This window comes from Homo sapiens, chromosome 13 (genome assembly GCF_000001405.40).
Source record: "Homo sapiens chromosome 13, GRCh38.p14 Primary Assembly".
NCBI classification, from domain to species: domain Eukaryota; kingdom Metazoa; phylum Chordata; class Mammalia; order Primates; family Hominidae; genus Homo; species Homo sapiens.
The window spans coordinates 36,281,508-36,300,202 of NC_000013.11; the positions used below are offsets into that span (position 1 = coordinate 36,281,508).

General features: G+C 38.8%; 2 protein-coding genes across 8 annotated transcripts in view, besides 2 other annotated features; both read right to left on the minus strand.

Annotated features, from left to right (window-relative positions):
• The window catches only part of CCDC169-SOHLH2 (CCDC169-SOHLH2 readthrough), a 129,598-nt gene extending 113,291 nt beyond the window's left edge, over positions 1–16,307 (minus strand). Inside the window, exons 1-2 of the mRNA NM_001198910.2 lie at positions 16,130–16,307; positions 2,085–2,195 (exon numbers count right to left, since the gene is read on the minus strand). Of these exons, the coding sequence (NP_001185839.1) occupies positions 2,085–2,099 (15 nt within the window). The 5' untranslated portion in view covers positions 2,100–2,195; positions 16,130–16,307. The remainder of the gene's footprint in view (positions 1–2,084; positions 2,196–16,129) is intronic.
• Positions 1–16,307, minus strand: part of CCDC169 (coiled-coil domain containing 169) — a 75,811-nt gene extending 59,504 nt beyond the window's left edge. For 2 of the 7 annotated variants that reach the window (NM_001198908.2, NM_001144981.3), the window contains exons 1-4: positions 16,130–16,307; positions 14,271–14,350; positions 2,085–2,195; positions 1,962–2,002 (exon numbers count right to left, since the gene is read on the minus strand). In NM_001198908.2, coding sequence (NP_001185837.1) covers positions 1,962–2,002; positions 2,085–2,195; positions 14,271–14,350; positions 16,130–16,212 — 315 coding nt within the window. In that variant the 5' untranslated portion in view covers positions 16,213–16,307. The remainder of the gene's footprint in view (positions 1–1,961; positions 2,003–2,084; positions 2,196–14,270; positions 14,351–16,129) is intronic. The other 5 variants (NM_001144983.3, NM_001144986.3, NM_001144982.3 and 2 more) reach the window with 3 other exon arrangements.
• Positions 15,934–16,895: an enhancer, noted in NCBI's record as "H3K27ac hESC enhancer chr13:36871578-36872539 (GRCh37/hg19 assembly coordinates)". NCBI's record gives its function as "activates a minimal SCP1, AML or CMV promoter by ChIP-STARR-seq in naive H9 embryonic stem cells {active_cell/tissue: H9 hESC(naive)}" and the evidence as "EXISTENCE:reporter gene assay evidence [ECO:0000049][PMID:30033119]".
• Positions 16,896–17,858: an enhancer, noted in NCBI's record as "OCT4-NANOG-H3K27ac hESC enhancer chr13:36872540-36873502 (GRCh37/hg19 assembly coordinates)". NCBI's record gives its function as "activates a minimal SCP1, AML or CMV promoter by ChIP-STARR-seq in naive H9 embryonic stem cells {active_cell/tissue: H9 hESC(naive)}" and the evidence as "EXISTENCE:reporter gene assay evidence [ECO:0000049][PMID:30033119]".

An 18,695-nucleotide genomic window follows, 5' to 3' on the forward strand; every position in this document is an offset into this window, starting at 1 on the left:
CTCACTTATGTGAATAATTTTTTCTAAAATATTAAAATCACACTGAACTTTACATTTCAAAATGGCTGAAACAGGCGGGGTGTGGTGACTTATACCTGTCATCCCAGCACTTTGGGAGGCGAGGCAGGTGGATTGCTTGAGCTCAGGAGTTCGAGACCAGCCTGGGACACACGGTGAAACCTCGTCTCTACTAAAAATACAATAATTAGCCAGGCATGGTGGCATGAGCCTGTAGTCCCAGCTATTCAGGAGGCTGAGGTGAGAGGACTGCTTGAGCTCAGCAGGCAAAGGCTGTAGTGAGCCAAGATTGAACCACTACACTCCAGCCTGGGTGACAGAGTGAGACCCTCCCTCAAAAAAAAAAGAAATGCTGAATGGTAAATTTTAAGTTATGTATATTTACCACAATAAAAGAGAGATAAAATTATATTAAAATGAAGTCCACTTTAATGATATAGTTTAAAGATAACATTTTATACATTTTTGTCAAATAACATATAAAATATTACACATATACTAGTCAACAACGAGTGCCCATCCTTTTGCTACTCATAAGCAAATCTGTAGTTTGAAATTATTCAAAATTAGTATTCAAACTAACACATCAATTTCATAAGTATGTCTGTACAGATTACTCCTAAACACTAAACAATCCACAACAAGGATAAAGAATCGGGAAATTTACAGATGGTATTTGAATTCATACTCTATCCCACAAAAGCAACTAATTTAAGCCCTTTTCCCTAATTGTCAATTTAACAGGAAGCCAAAAATATGTCTGCATTACACAATTATATGTCTGAATTTCACAAATATTATTCTTTATATCAAAGAATAAGACTTAGTTTTGTCCTTAGCTAAGAGGGTCTCTTGACTGGATATAGGATTGTTGGATCCCAATGCTTTTTGCTTAGTAATTGGACACTTCTATCGCTGACTCCTTGATTAGATTTCTAATCTCTGCTGCTCAGACACACCCCTCTTGGATTCATGAGTACCAAACACTCATGAAAGCACCTGTCCAGAGAATAGAGAGGACCAGTTCTGTTTATACTGAACTTTCATTCTCTTTCCTTTCTGCTTGGTCTGTGGTCCCACTCTTCGTTGTGCTAATATTTCTTCAGTCCTTTACTGTGGAGAAATATAATTCTCTGTCTCTGGATCTAAATTATTAAATCTCTTAGAGAACCACATTTTCTTCAAAAATAACACAAATACATCAAGGAAAATAAATGTATTTTTTCCAACATGAATATGTTCCAGAGTCTCAGGTAGTAGTTAGAAAACCAATTAAACGCTCCTTAGATATGCCCTAAGGTATTTTACTAAGTCATACCAGCACTTGTTGCTACTCTCCACAAGGGTGGTGATACCCACTCTGTTGAGCTAGGACTGAGCCTCAGTTATCAAGAAGCAGGTAGACAGAATATTTTATATCCAGTAGGTAGTAATAAAATTCTACCTGCAATTAAGAAAAGGCACTAAGCTTAACATAGCCCTAGCAACTATTTCTAAATGCCACAAGAGGGCGATATAACTCTATGACAGCACATGGGAAAACAATTTTTCGAGTTAGAAAAATTCCTGACTTTCCAAGATATGGAAATAAAGGCATGTCTGGGTTGAAAGTAACAAGCGTGCAAAAGGACTTATTTCTCCTCAATTCATTATTAGCAAAAACACAGTATTTGTCTATATCTTTCTCTGAAGGTTGGCGGTGATTCAAAAAGCAATATCTATACATGCTCTGCTCTTCAGGACACCTGTGAATATAGCTGGCAACTTAGTGCTCCACCTATAGCTACTCAAAAATTATTTGTTGTCCTTCAAACAGATCCCTTGAACAAAACAGTTTATTTGGACCTTGCGCTAGTCTTCAAACTTCTCTTTGAAATACGTCTGGAAAAAATAGACATAATTTCCTTCAATTATTCTTTGTGTTTAATCACATTTCTACTCACCACTGGCATTCGTTCATAGACACGAATAGAAGATAGTCTATCTACAATAAATCAAATATGAGCACTTAATGTTTTATCAGTTTTAACTCAAATTATAAAATGTACATATGATTGGTTTTGTACCTGAAGAGTTTCCATGGATTTTTTCCACTTTCTCCTTGAGATAAACAATTTGCTTTTCTAGTTCATCATTTAATTCAAGTTGTGTCTCATAACGGGTTTTCCATTCACTACCTGAGTAAAAACAGGGAGAAACAATCAAGATCACCCCACCACCTCTCATTTATTCATTAAAATAACATTATGAGCTTGATCTTACTCTATTACTATATTTGACTTTATTGGCAATACAGATCAACTAGAAGGAAATAGTTATTAAGTCTGTATTTCTGTTAGTAAGATTTTCCAGACTGCAAGAATTAGACTCACACTCAGGCTACCAAACAGCCAAACCTTATCACAACTACTGCAATTCCTCTTCTTCCCTACTTCCCACCTGCTTTTTTCTTTTACTTCTTGTGCATCCTTACAATGAATTCAATTAGAGGGAATATCAGGACATGTTTCTTTCCTTGGAACTTGAAATACCCATATATATAATATCCATATATTTCATATATGATATTTCATATACATATCCATAAATATATATATTTCAAGTTCCAAGGAAACTTGAAATACATATTTATATATTTATACATTTTATATATGTTTATGTGTATATAAAATATCCTAAACATTACTAACCTATCCAATGTCATGTTCATTTTTTTTCCTTTGAAAGCAATTCTGAAGTCTGCTGAATAACTATCACTTACGTGTCTGCCGTGTGTAAAGCACACAATGCTTCACATACATTAAGTAATTTAATCCTCATTTTAGAAATGTAGTCACCTATTTTACAAAGATGAGGAAACCAAGGCTCAAAGATGTCAATGTCAAATAACATTCTTAAGATGACAGAGCTAATAAATAAGGGAACCGGGTTTTTAATCCAGTTTTATCTGCCTTTGAAATCATATCCTCTTAACTCCTAAGCTGAAGGAACAATGTACATTTAGCTATCTTCTCAGGCATTTTCTCTTAACCTTAAGCAGTTTTCTTTCACTAAACCCTTTTAGCTATTAAAGTCAAAGCATTTTCCTTATGTCTGGGGAAAAAGAAGAATACAGCCTAAAATTAAAAGGTCTTTGTTCAGATTCAAAGCCCAAAGCTAACTTTTTCGAGTCTTTAAAGTCAGGCTTTGTAGAGGGCAAAAAGATGGCTTCTTTTTCAACTTTAAATGCTCTTCACAGGTCTGAAATAACTGCTGCTACATAACAGTTAGTGGAAGAGTTAAGGAGAAAGAGTATTAGCACATACCACTACCAACCTCCTCAGCCCTGACACAGGTCTCCCTTACACCCTCATCTCTATGCAAATGCGGTCTACCAAAGGGGATGGAACCCCCTCCCATACTGAAACTGAAAGTCATTAACCCAAAAGCTTTGGAAAGGTACAAGAAGAAAGGAGAAGCCCTGAAAGACTAAACATTTACCCAAAAGATACAGTAGAGCTCAACTGTATGGAATCATCTTTATAACTTGCTACCTAAAGTCTCCCTTTGTCATGGTATCCCCTTTCCTAACATGGTAACGGATTCTTCAGAGCAAGATGAGAATGGTTACCAAAAAATTAAAAATGCAATTTATTTTTGGCACATCTGAGTACAGTTTATAAATTTTGACACCATTTTATTTAAAAATATTATTGACTTTTAAGTCAATCATCAAATTTAATTATCAAATATAGACAAGCCAGCCAGGCACGGTGGCTCACACCTGTAATCCCACCATTTTGGGAGGCTGAGGCTGGTGGATCACTTGAGGTCAGGAGTTCAAGACTAGCCTGGCCAATGTGGTGAAACCCCGTCTCTACTAAAGAATACAAAAATTAGCCAGGCATGGTGGCAGGTGCCTGTAATCCCAGCTACTCAGGAGGCTGAGGCAGAAGAATTGCTTGAACCCGGGAGGCAGAGGTTGCAGTGAGCTGAGATTGTGCCACTGCACTCTAACCTGGGTGACATAGCTAGTCTGCATCTCAAAAAAATAAAAATTTTTCTCAAAAAAATAAAATAAGATAGATAGATAGATAGATAGATAGATAGATAGATACATAGATACATAGATACATAGATACATAGATAGATAGACCGACCTATTAGTATACAGTCGTAACCAAATGGAATCCGGCTGCTTGCCACTTACAGAGTCCAATTAATAAGAGCAAGGTCTGGCATAAAGTGGCTTTATTAACCCCAACATCAACATGGGACAACACAAAAGACCCAAGATAGACACCAAAACAAGACACACAGACCTTGTAACCAGCACAACTCCTGCATGCCTCCCATATTAAGTTTCCCTTTGAAAGCCCCCTGCCTTTTCCCTAGAAATTGGACATGGTTATTTTGGATGGGAATCTGGCCACTTGTCCATTATTAGTTTTGGTCAATGAAGTCACTTTCTCTCTACTGGACCTCGCTTTTGTTAATTGAACTATGCAATCAGCACTTACAATTGCTGGTTACAATTTTAGTGTCCCGTATGGTGAGTGCTGTATGCTCCAGGGCCTGAGCCTGCCAGTCTGGTTTCTATCAGATGGGGCATAGGGCCACCTGTGAATACTAGTTGCTGATGGCTAGCTGACCCATGGCTAGGATATTAGGGAATTTCCCAGCAGCTGCCAAGACTCTTTTGTCTTAGGGATCCTCTCTTTTCTTCCTGCTATGGTGTCTGCTACCTTCAATGCTTCACTGGTGCAAAGAAAGTGACCTCTGGAGAAGCTGAGAAACTATGGAACTAGGTGCATTAGTCAGAGTGTACCCAACCACCTTCTGCCTCTTTTGGGGTGTCGCTGGGGCTCTGCTTTATTTAGACTTGGCTGCCAGTGAAACTATATGAGCATTTTATGCATTGGTTTTGTTTGTATTTGCTGCACCCTTGGGCCTTTGCTCAGTTCTGACTCAGTTGCCTGGGGGAGCCATTTGAAACTGAAATGAGGGATTTCGGAGTCTACACAGCCCCTTAACCAGGGATTTGTTTGGATGCACACCACCTGTTTGTCCGTGTGTGAGATCTTTGTGCACCCTGATCTCTTTGTCTCTCTTTCTCTCTCTCTTTCCCCTTTTTTCCAACTTCATCATCCTGATTATCTCAGAAGCCATCTACAGCCCTACTCTTCTCAGCCAAAACCACCCTTCGCTCCCTCTGGCTGGAAACAGTTTACCTTGACTGGTGACTTGAGGAAATGGGAGGGATTCATCCCACACCCTTCAGTTCTAGGGTGCTGAGGCTCTCCCTAAGAGGAGATAAACAAGAGAGGTAGGGGTACTGTGCAGTGGCTGGAAGGCTCATAAACCTCCCTTCCTTCTTTTCTCTTTCCTCTTCCTGCCCATAAAACCTGACCTCCTTTCTCCTCTCCACTCCTTTCTTTTTCTCTTTTCCTGTTCAAACCAGGAAACCAGTACTGAAGAGAAAAAACAATTTTCAACATCCTGGCCCCTGATTTTGTCATCCTCTTTGGGACTGCAGCTGATTACATATGGTGCATTTTTGTGTACATTTTAAACTGACGGGCAAATTACAGCAAGAAAAATTTAGAGCTCAAATAGTTAACCTGAAGCTATAGAGTTAAGTAGAGTCTTCTAAAGCTATCTTCCCTCTTCCCCTCTTTTCTGCCTGCTTTAAATCTGCTGTTACTAAGCTGCTGGTGCTAGGACTCATTTATGATCTAACTAGAATGTAAACACTGGAAAGTTGTTTGAAACTGAAAATAAAAAATAACAAGGGTAAAAGCGGTTTAAAAAAACTGCCATAGAGACTCCTTTACCCAAAATTTTGGTTCACAAATTTCCTTGGATTACCTATTAGGGCAAATGAAGTTTGGCCATATGAACAGGTTCCAATTTTGTCAGAAAAAGAACTTGAAGCCAGCTATCTTTTGTAGGTCTGTGAGTTTGTAATGCTGTCTCATGGCTGGAGTTCCAAGGTAAAAGCTATTGGTTATTTCTTTGTGCATGTATGTATACATGTTTAGATATATTTATGTAATATTCATGTATTATGTTCTGCGTTGTGTCTAGCATGTTATCAAACTGGCTTATAAGTAAATGAGTACTCAAAAATTAAGTCCAAATGCTTTTCAAGTGCATGTGAATTTTTAATAAATAAAAGTGGTTTTAAAATTATTGATAAAAATAGAAAGGTCTTCAGAATTGTCCCCATACATTTTTGTCTAAGTGGTTTTATATTTGTATCAGTGTGTATACAAAGGTGTCAAGGGTTGACATAAAGGTTCTAAGACTTTAAACTCAACCAAAAACAGAATAATCTTTGTGTATTTTTTTTTGACAAATAAGACTAACTTGTTAGTTCAATGAAACAGCTAAATCTTCAGAGTCATCAGCAAATACATTTAATTTTAAGGTTCTTAATTAGGTGCTCACCATTTAGTGTTCAGATTTTAAAAATGGTTAATAGGGAAATAACTTTATTATTTATTTTTAATTTTTTTTTTTGAGATGGAGTCTCGCTCTGTCACCCAGGCTAGAGTGCAGTGGCGCAATCTTGGCTCACTGCAAGCTCCACCTCCCTGATTCACGCCATTCTTCTGCCTCAGCCTCCCGAGTAGCTGGGACTACAGGCGCCCATCACCATGCCTGGCTAATTTTTCTGTATTTTTTTAGTAGAGACAGGGTTTCACCATGTTAGCCACCAGGATGGTCTCGATCTTCTGACCTCATTATCCGCCCGCCGCAGCCTCCCAAAGTGCTGGGATTACAGGCGTGAGCCACCGTGCCCGACCCGGAAATAACTTTAAATAATGATTAGTTTTGTGTAATATCTCAGTTTTCAGAAGTAATCTAGATAAACTATTAAGAAATGGAAAAGGTGAATACATGTAAATGAGATAAATGCTTGTAAGTGGACTTTTTGTGTAAGTTAAAATCTTAAAATTATTTTGAATTAAATAATAGATGCTCCAATCCAATAGATAATAATTTGATTTCTGGGACATTTCCAATTAAGAAAAGATTATGATATGGGAAAACATATTTCTAAAATTGTAGAATGGTTTCATCCAGAAAATCCTAACATCTGATAAACAGTTCAGGATTTCTTGCTTCCTAAGTTTTCACTAAAATTTAAGGTTACTAAGAATTCTAATATATAATTCTGCAAGTTGTGTTCTCATTTTTTAAAAAAGAGTAATTTAAGTAATTCAAAGGTTATTTAAAAGTTATTTCTAAAAGAAGGTAAAAAAGAATCAGTGAGTAGGGGAGAGAGATATAAAGAAAGTTGTGGATACAAAAATGTATTTATAATAAAAAAGTTATAAAACAAGCAAATAATTTTACATGAGAAAGATTTTATATAGTAAATTCTTATCCTAAAATAAAATGGCTAGTTATTCAGAAAACAGAAAATTTTAGGACAAGTCAGAAAGTCCAAGCATGTAATAAATGGTCTATGTAAGTTATGATAAGGTTCATAAAAGGAAAATTACAAAAGCTATTTTATATATTAAGTTGGCTATAATTAGAAGGGAATTATTTTTAATAGTCTTTCTAAGATTGATCCCCTATCTTAAAACAAGGTTTTCTTAAGGTATTACTTTTCTCTTAATAAAATTACAAGAGATTTTTAAAATTTTAGAAACTGTTTCTTTTAAAAGCTTCTCAGAATCATATCTCAGAAGTTCAACTATTGCTGTCTCACTGCTTTCAGCTTTTTCTCCCCCTGAGAAGGTCTGAGATGACAGCTCTCTCCTTCAGCTTCTAAATTAGCTTCTGTAACTTTTTTCCTCTGGTTCCACTGTTGTGGCCTGATGCTAAAATGTTTTATCTTAAAGGTCTAGAAAAGCAATATTTTCCTTCAGTATAATTTGATTCTGTACTCTTGGCTTTCTTGATAGATGTAAATTTTTCAATGTAATCAAGAAACTTCTCATGCAGTTACTAAGAACTATGTATTCCTCTGCTATACTCATAACCCTGAACACATTCTTCCTATGTCTGATTAAATTCAAGAATATTTTTCATCAGGTTTAACTTCCAGGTTGTCTAAATAGGCTTCCTATAAGGAAAAGTAGTCACACTGCAGGTTTTTCTTTGCCTTTCTGGTAACTGGCGTAAGAAACAACATTTTACTTTTTATCAAAATAATTCATATGTTGTCTTCATTAGATTTTTAACTGCTTAGAAAAACTGAGACCTAAAAGGCTGAAAGTTGTTATATGCATGTAACCTTCTGTATTGCCTTTAAGTCTTTCAATAATCATTTTGGTTAAATTAGTAACTATTGGTTTACAATGACCTGTGGATCTGTTTTAATCAAATGTTTTGAGCCCTTTAACATTTTTAAGAAACATCTTCAAAATTGAAACAAAAATTAAGTCTCTGGCTTATTGCTGGTGTTTATCAAAGCTATAAAAGTTAATCACTGCAAGGTTATAGAATCTTTTTACAGCTTCCAGTCAAGTCATAGACTCCAGTGTCACCACCTCCAGCCCCTTAAAAAAAAGGTCCTTATCAGGTGTTATTAACTAATCCTTGTGCTATGAAGTTACAGGGCTTTGACTCCTGGGTACACATATCTCATCTAAAGAAGGCAGTGACTCCTGCCAGTATCTGACAGCAAATCTAAGTTAACCGAAGCCCCATTTTTAGATCTGGGCAAAGATGACAATCATAGTAAACTACTTTCATGAGACACAGGGACACGCCTGTACCACAAAAAAATTAAGATTCTCTTAATAATTTTGCCTCTATCTAAAATAATATAATTTATTCTGTGCCTAAATAAATAGATACTAAATAATTTAAATGTTTAAATTTAGTGCCTAAATTGACACTAAATAATTTAAATGTTTAGCTACCTATAAGTTTCCTTTCCTGTAACTGTCAGAACTAGGCAGGGCTTATTACCTTTTTGTTTGAAACACTGCTAATACTTTACATTTTTTTTTACCTCCAGAATTTGAAACTATTGAATCCCTCCAGGCCCAGGGGCTATCGCAGAAGTGTATCATTGTAAGGGCCAGATTTTGAGGGATAAAATTAATTAAGACCCTCCAAATCAAGGACAGACACACAGATGCCTAAACAGCTGAACAATATGCTTGTGTTTTGTACAGCTAATTGCTATAAGTCAAGATTACAGTATCTCAATGCAGAGAATTTATAGATAACTCAACTTTATAATCTTATTTTTTGAGTTTTGGTTTTTGGCTCTTATGTTGCCTAAAAGGGGTTTTAAAGATTACTGAATACCTGCTCACCTCCACTCCCATCTGGCCTAAAACGTTTAATTGGATTTAAGTCTTTGACTCTAAGTTCCTTGGCAATAGGGGTCCCACTGAGAGGCACGATGGACCAGGGGCAAGTAGCCACACCATCCCAGAACTTAAGTTAATAAAAGCTTAGCTATGGATACCACCTCTGCATACCTTGACCAAAAAAGGGGGAATATAAACTAAAAAAAAAAAAAATCCTAAGCCCCCTCAACAGACTGAATGTATCCACCTCTTGGCCAAAGGGAATCCCAAAGAAACCTGACAAACTAGTTCAGGCCATTATGAGAAGTGGAGGGTTGGACATGCCACACTATACCTTCCCCCAATTTGGAGTTTAGGCACAAATGACCAGCATTAACATTAAAATAGAGATCACATAAGACTGACAAGACAGACTCTGTAGCAATAAGATACACACTGTTATGTTTCACTTACTAACAAAGTCTCTCAGAAGCTCAGCAAACATGTGTTAATGCTGCAAAGCTTTCCCAAATTTATTTTATTCTAGAGTTTCCTGTATGAAATCTCTTATGTTAAATAAGTAAGAATTTGGACTAAACAGTTATGCCTTTATAGTTATAGTCTTCTGTTATCTCTTCATACAGGTCCTCATATTTCTGGTCAGGAATATTGTCAGATCTTTTATGGTTTCGGTTGGAATTGTGGGTGGGATCATTTAAAAACCCTATTTTCTAACTGGTTATTGCTGGCATTTGTTTTTTTAAATAAATATTTATTTCATGATTGTATCCAACTATTTTCTAATTCTTTATTAATATACTAATCTTTATAACTGTATCACTTCCTCTCTAATAGCTATAACTCATTTCTATTTCATATTTTATTGCTTAATTAGAACTTTCAAAAACTATATTGCATTTTAATAATGGCAGCAGGCAGCTTTGGTATTTTTTCCCCCAAGAATGGAAATGCCTCTACTATTTCATTGTTAAGTATTATGCTAGTTTGAGATAAATAGAAGTATTCTTTTCCTTGTTTTGAAAAACAAATGGAATTTTATTTTTAAAATTTTAGCATTTACTGAGGTGATTTAAAAAAATATATTGGATTTATTAATATATTACCTACTAGCCAAAGGTATTTGGGCATAGAAACCAGCCTATAAAAGACTCAAAGGAGAAATCCAGGATGAAGATGTAAACTTGTGTGTTGTCAATAAGTCTTCTTTTTTTTTTTTTTTTTGGATGGAGTCTCGTTCTTGTCATCCAGGCTGGAGTGCAATGGTGCAATCTTTGCTCACTGCAACCTCTACCTCCCGGTTCAATCGATTCTCCTGCCTCAGCCTCCAGAGTAGCTGGGATTACAGGCACCCACCACCACACCTGACTAATTTTTCTTTTGTTATTTTTAGTACAGACACAGTTTCACCATGTTGGCCAGGCTGGTCTCGAACTTCTGACCTCAGGTGATCTGCCTGCCTTGGCCTCCCAAAGTGCTGGGATTACAGGTGTGAACTGCCGCACCTGGCCTCCATTTTTCAATCTATAAAACGGAGGTAATGATATTATTTTCAAAGGGTAGTTGTGAGGTTTCAATTTTTTTAAAAAACGTACTTAAAGCCCTACACAAATACTAATTCTTCTTGCTTAAAAAAAAAGTCACCTGAACATTTTCTTTACCATTTTCTTATTACTAAACTTTGTTGTGAAATTCAAATTAAAACATAAAACCAAATTTTCTACATACAGTTTCCTATGAATCCTAAAAGGCTTCAAGAGGTGACTTTGAGAATATAAAGCTCTTTGGAGTTGGCTGTGTTTACCACCTGCCTAAAAACTAATCCAGTGACAAGCAAGATCAAACAATAAGCAGATGAGAAAGTAGAAATAAAAACTACTCTTTTGAAGGCTTTTGCTGTAAATGGGGCAGGGACAGGGGATGCTAGCTGAAGGGGAAAAGTGGGGCCAAAAGAAGCCTGTCATTTGTTGTTTAGATAAAATAAATTCAGCATGTTGGTCTGCTGTTGGGAATGATCCAGTAGAGCAGGGAAAACAGACAGTGTAGGGAAGAGAGGGCCATCACTACAGTGATATCCTTGAGTAGGTGCAAGTAGGTAGGATCTACTCCACAAAGGGAGGAGATAACCTGAGACAAGAATAAGGACAGATCATTCATAGAAACAAGAGGGAAGAGGATGTGCAAGGGTGCAGGTAGATGGGTAGCTCTGTTGGTAGAAACAGGTAGAAGTCCTCTTCTGATTGCTTCTCTTTTTTCTTTGAAAGAAGAGGGTAAGCTCATTACCTGAGAGTGTGATTGAGTGGAGAGGTGGTAGAGGTTTGAGAAGAAAGCAGAAAGGGTGAAAAAATTATCTGAACAGTGAATGTACCCCTATTTGTCACATGTGCGCATATTTCCAGTAATAAATTCCTTTTAAAACACCTTTAATATTGCCCCACTGCCTTCAGGATAAACGTAAATTCATTAGCATCATGCAATCTTCTTGATTTATCTCCTTCATAAACTTTAACCTCATCTCCTAATGCATTCTCATTATGACCTATGTTCCATTTTTATCAATTACTTAGCATATTCCCCAAATGGCTTTATGTTTAATGCTCCTGTGGCAGACTGTATTTTCCAAAGATGACTGCCAATAATATATCCCATCCCATGTGTTGCTCTGTAATGTGACCTTAAAAGCAGTCTACCTCTCCAGTCCCTTGAATCTGTGACTACTATGACCAACAGAATACAGTGGATATACCCCTGTGCCAGTTCTGGGAGTAGCCCTTGACTGGCCTGGCAGTCTCTACTTATGTCTTTTGGAATGCTTGCTCTTGGGATACATCCTCTTGGAACCTAACCACCATGCTGTGAGAAGAAAAAGGTACAAGAGGCATTTCTGACAGGCAGCCCTAGCTGAGCTTCCAGTCAAAAGCCAGTGTCAGATGTTAGCCATGTGAATGAGTCATCACGGAATGACCAGCTCACTTGAATCTTCAGTATACCTGATTGCAACCAGAGACCCCAATCAAGAACCATCCAGGTGAACCAACCCAGTTAATCCACAGAATTATAAGAGTTTGTTGTTTTAAGCTCCTAAATTATAGGGTGATTTGCTATGCAGCAAAAGACAAGCAGAAGTGTTTTGAGTGTGATGTGGTAGATGGAAGTTGTATTATCATTTACTGAAGGCATGGTAAATAGATGATCTAGGATCAAGTCATGGCTCTGCCACTACCTGGCTATATTACCTTAGAAGTTATTTGAATTCCTGAATTTCATTCTTCCATATATGGGGATAATAATAACTACCTCACCTGACACAGTCCCTGGCTTTAAAGGAGTAAATGTTTCTGCCCTTCACCTTAGGCCTTACTTTTGGCCCACTAAGGAAAGAACTTTCTCTCCTATCATTCTGACGTTTTCTCTTTATACCCACATACTAGCTCCTTCTTTTGAGAACTGCTACAACTTGTTGAGCCACATTTTACTACTGGGCATAGTTATTGCATGTGTACCTGTGAGCATGCCTTCTGTTTTTCCTGTAACTGGGTACATGAGGACGTTCCAGTTACCCTGCCAACGCAGCTACTTGATAAGTACACTGAGAGCCTGCCCCCAGAGACTGAGGTTATATCTAAGATATAGATATGGAGATAGAGGAAGCTACTTCAGCCTTGGGACAAAGTAGTATTCTGCAACCAAGCTTTAACAAAGCACTGGGTACTTATAGAAAGTGGCATTTTATTTCCCATATGGCCACTATTCCTTTTTGTTCATGGCTCCCCAATTGAGGAAGAGTATAAATGTAGCAGGACGAGCCACAGACAAAACCCCTCAGACACCAAGTTAAAGAAGGTAAGGCTTTATTCGGCCGGGAGCATCAGCAAGACTCACATCTCAAAAAAATGAGCTCCCCGAGTAAGCAATTCCTGTCCCTCTTAAGGGTTTAGAACTCTAAGGGGGTCTGCATGAGAGGGTTGAGATTGATTGAGCAAGCAGGGGGTACGTGACTGGGGGCTCCATGCACCAGTAATTAGAACAGAACAGAACAGGACAGGGATTTTCACAGTGCTTTTCCATACAATGTCTGTAATCTATAGATAACATAACCGATTAGGTTGGGGGTCAATCTTTAACTACCAGGCCCAGGGTGTGGTGCTGGGCTGTCTGCCTGTGGATTTCATTTCTGCCTTTTAGTTTTTATTTCTTCTTTCTCTGGAGGCAGAAATTGGGCATAAGACAATATGAGGGGTGGTCTCCTCCCTTATAAATGCCCACCCTGATAATCCTAATAAAGTCCTCCTGTTCTTTAGCATTCAGTTCAAACAATGCCTGTTCTGGAAAGCCTGTCTTTATTAACTCACCCGAATTCTGTTAGGTTTCCCTTCCCTAAGTTTTCATTTATCCTTACATAGAACTTATATGACTTCTCATATCCATAATCTGATTTGATACTTTCTCCCAATAGTCAATGAACCTCTTTAGAACAGGGAAAACAAAGGTCTTCCATTTAAAGTGTTGACATATGGCAGGGTCATATCTTGCATACATTACAAATTTTAAGGATATATGAGTGTGTAGGTACACAGCATCCTCCACACCAAACACACATTCTTCCAACAACAATAGCTAAAACCTAGATACGGATTTTAAACATATCCCAAACCTAGAAGTTAAGATATAAAGAGTGTAACTTGAGGTGAATAGAAAACTGGTGATATTTATTTAATAAAGAAATAATATATTGATGTCATGTAACAAAGTTTTTGCTAATTAATGAACATTTTGAACTTGAAAGGTAGAAAAATAATTAAATAGTAATAGGTTTGATATTCTGAAGTATCAGTTTTAAAGCCTCTATCATAAACTATCATTAATGTGGCCAAAAAGCAATACTGAAATGTTGGTACTATTATTCAATATATGGAATTTAATGCACCATAGATATCCTGGTAAAATGAACAATAATTATACAGGAGTCACAAATATAAGTATTTACTTATATACCTTCATTGTCAGTATTGAGTTTGGCTTCCAGTTCCGTAATCTTGTGTCTTAGTTCAAATATTGAGAGTTGCACTGCATCCCTGTTATTTAAAATATTTTTGTTGATTATAATTCAATTAAAAATAACATCAGAAAAATAATACATAGTAACCCACTACTACTTCAGGAACAATTTACTATGACACATTATTTACTGAAGGACTGGTTAAGAAATAAGACTCAGGCAAAGGAAGGCTTCCAATTAGTCAGTTCTAGGACTCAAATATGCACTAAAGCTCAAAGACCCCCAGGCAACCATTAGAAATCTTTTATTTATTTTTATTTATTTTTTTGAGACAGAATCTCGCTCTGTCGCCCAGGCTGGAGTGCAGTGGTGCAAACTCGGCTCACTGCAACCTCCGCCTCCCGGGTTCAAGCAATTCTCCTGCCTCAGCCTCCTGAATAGCTGGGATTACAGGCATGCGCCACCAAGCCCTGCTAATTTTTTTGTATTTTTAGAAGAGACAGGGTTTCACCATATTGGCCAGGCTGGTCTCGAACTCCTAACCTTGTGATCCGCCCAGCCTCGGCCTCCCAAAGTGCTGGGATTACAGGCGTGAGCCACCAGGCCCGGCCCTTGGAAATCCTTTATTTTTAACTTAAATATCATCCTAAAGAAGTTAGTTACCTGGTTTTTCAGAACCAAGCAAATTAGGCACTGCACATTATTACAGAAAGGCATACCTAGGGCAATACATAACAGCTGACAAACTGAAACAAAGAGAAAAAAACAAACACTAATTTAAAAGGTTAGCTATTTAGGGCATCAGTAAATAGAACATTATCATATGACAGGGCCATTTATTCAATAAATATTTTTGAGTGCCTATTATGTTCAAGGCATTGTATTAAATACGGAAGAATTCAGTGAACAGTGAACAGAAAAATAGCAATAGCGGCAGCAAAGTTCCACTGGATGCGTATCACAAGCCAATGCTAAGTTCTTTATAGTGCATTTCATTCCAACCTGGGAACAACAGCAGGAGGTATGAGATGACTATTTGTATACCAGTCTTAGAGCTGAGAAAACTGAGGATTAAAGAGGTTAATTAACTTGTCTAAGATTGCATAGTTACTGAGTGACAAGAGATGGAGTTTGTGTTTTTGCAGGACTGTCCTCAAGTACTTGCTCTTATTCTCTACTTCCTCAGAATACACAGAACCTGTCCTCAGAACGCGTGTAGTTTGGTAGCAAAACAAGAAATAGACAGGCAATTAAAATACTGTGACTGGAGCTACAATAGAGGAAAACCCAGAACCCTATCTAGGCACAAAGGAGAGTCCAATTCTCACGGGACTTGTGGATGGAGTTGGGAGTATGTCCAAAAAATACTTTAAATGTTTCAAAAATTTAACACGAAGTACGAATACTGTTTTTAAAAAGCATAAAGGAGGAGTAACAGTTTTACTAAATGTCATTTTATGAAGTTCCCCTTAAAGGGATGAAAGAAAAAAAAAACCCCGTATAACTAAATAAAATCTTTGGAATTTTAAGCAGAAAACCTGGATTTATGGAGACATCAAAACCAAACACAACTTTTGGCATTACAGTATATGGGCAAAATACACGCCATATGATTGGATCCTTAAGGGCAGCACATCCTACCCGGAAAGCTGCCTACTTAACAATACCAAAGGCTTACTCAAAGAGGCACGTGAATCTTTCGCATGGAATACTTTTGGAACCCAGACCGAAGTGCCCAGGGGTTAATCACGGCGCCGGTCTTACAGCACCCTCAGCGGCTTCAGCCCTGAGACTCTGCAGGTGAAGGCTCGGGGGGTGTGGACGGGACCCCACACCGCGCCGCCCGCCGACTCACTTCTTGCGGACTTCTTCCAGCAACTGCTGTTTCAGGCGGTTGGTGCTCACACCGTCGAAGTTGTAGTTTCTCTCTTCCTTCATAGTGTCAGGCCAGAGACCTCCCGCGTCTTTCCCCTCAGCACCTTAGAGCACAAGACATTAAGGGCCACCCAGAAGCCAGTACGGCACGAGGCGGTGAACCCCAACCGCCCCCCGGTCGCACCTCCCGCGCCTGCCCGCAGAGGCACGTGGTGACGTCATAAAGCGATGCCCGCAGGCGGCAGGGGGTGGGGCGAGGGCAGCCGGGGAGACTGGAGAAGCCTACTCTGTGCGGTGGAGCGACCCTGGATAACAGCTCCAGGGACACTCCTTGCTCAAGACGCTGGGGTTAGACGTGCTCCGGCTACACAGCGGAGTGTCAGGGGGCCAAGAATATCCCTCTCCTTTTTCTTCCCTCCTGCTGGCTTTGGTTGCTTTCCTAAACATTGCCCCGGACGGCAAAGTCGGCTTCACTCTTAGCCCTTGTTAGGGAAACGCTGGATCCAAGATTAGCTGCGCCCTTCTTTGCTTCAGTTGAACAAGCACCAGAGTCGCTGATTTGGCAGTGTCGGAGCGGGAGGAACTGGTCTTAAAAAGGTACCTCCTGAACTCGGGAAGACTGCTAACCCTCCAGATTATTGTTTTGCATCTGTGTGCTGTTCATGAACATACCTCAGAGCTGCTCACTGCAACTTGAAATTTCATTATATTTTTAATCACAAAGTTTGCATCCTACCCTTGATACATCTGTGTTTCCTTGACAAAAAGAGACAAACTCTGTAAAATATTTGAAGAGATTTATTCTGAGCCAAATGAGTGACCAATGGCGGGTGACAGCCCTCAGGAGATTCTGAGAACACGTGCCCAAGGTGGTCAGGGTACAGCTTAGTTCTATACATTTTAGGGAGACATGGGACATCAATCAAATGCATGTTAAGATATACACTGGTTCCATCGGGAAAGGCAGGGCAATTGGAAGGGGTGGGGGACGGGGTGGCTTCCAGGTCACAGCTAGATTCAAAGATTTTCTGATTGGCAATTGGTTGAAAAGTTACTGACTAAAGACTTAGGAATGTCTTTAGAGAATAAAGGGGTTGTGGAGACCAAGGTTTTAGTGAGAATGGGATAATTGGTGTGGAAAACACAATTTGGTGTCAGAAGTGTTGTGAATACATAGTTTTCCAATTGAGTTTCTGGATGAGATTAACATTTCAATTGGTAGACTGAGTATAGTACATTGTCTTCCCCAATGTGGGTGGGCCTCAGCCAATCGACCGAAGACAGAATAGAACAAAAAGGCTGACCTCCCAGGAGTAAGAGGGAGCTCCTACAGCCAAACAGCTTGAGCTGGAACACTTTTCCAGCCTTGGGCTCAGACTGGGACTGCACATCAGTTTGCTTGCATCTCCAGCTTGTCAACTGCAGATCCTGAGACTTCTCAGCCTTCATAATTGTACGGGCAAATTCCTTATAATAAATCTTTTATACACACACTCCCTATTGGTTCTGTTTCTGTGAATTACCCTAATATAGGAGGTATGCTTATCAAAATTTTGTCTAGCTGTTAAGTCTGAAAGGGCAACTCACAACCAAGTAAACAGAATAGAATGAAGTGAAAAGGACTAGATTATCTGTTGACAAATCCAAATATACAGAGGATTTCTTTTTTGAGACGGAGTCTCATCTGTCTCCCAGGCTGGAGTGCAGTGGCACAATCTCAGTTTACTGCAAACTCCACTCCTGTGTTAAAGCAATTCTCCTGCCTCAGCCTCCCAAAGTAGCTGGGACTACAGGCACGCACCACCATGCCTGGCTTAATTTTTTTGTGTATTTTTAGTAGAGATGGGGTTTCACCATATTGCTCAGGCTGGTCTTGAACTCCTGACCTCGTGATCCACCCACCTCTGCCTCCCAAAGTGCTGGGATTATAGGCATGAGCCACTGCACCCGACCCAGAGGATTTCTTAAAAAGATCTGTTAGCAGGATCTCACTGTGGGAAATTAGGAGCAAAGGCAAGCAGAAAACAGGTTTGTCAACAACTACAGAAACCACAGATTTGTGTTTCTGGCAGAGATAAAGGACCTGAATTTACCCTCCTGCCTGAAACAACTAAAAAACTAAGAGGAACAAAAAAAGAACATTGAACATCAGGCAATAAGGGAAAACGATCACCAAGAGATGAGACACAAATGAGGCAAGCTCCCAAATTGGCCTGGGCCTGCCAGGGTACAAAGCAGAAAGGGAGAAAACAGGCAGAGGCTGGTGGTTGCCCTAAGTTGAGGAAACGGAGTTTCTCTAAGAGTCTAGAGAGAACAAGGCAGCTAGACTTTGCAGGGCAGATATTGGAGGGGAGAGCTGCACAGGGTGTTCCCAGACCAAACTGAGGGTTGGGTTGCTATTTCTTGTGACCCAGTAAGAACATGTAGATGAACTGGGGAGGAAGAGAGTTTTTATTTCTGGAACCAGTTACAGGCAGAAGCCCTGGAAACTATAACCAGACCAACTCAAAATTACAGTTTTCCAGACCTTCTAAGCTATATGTCTA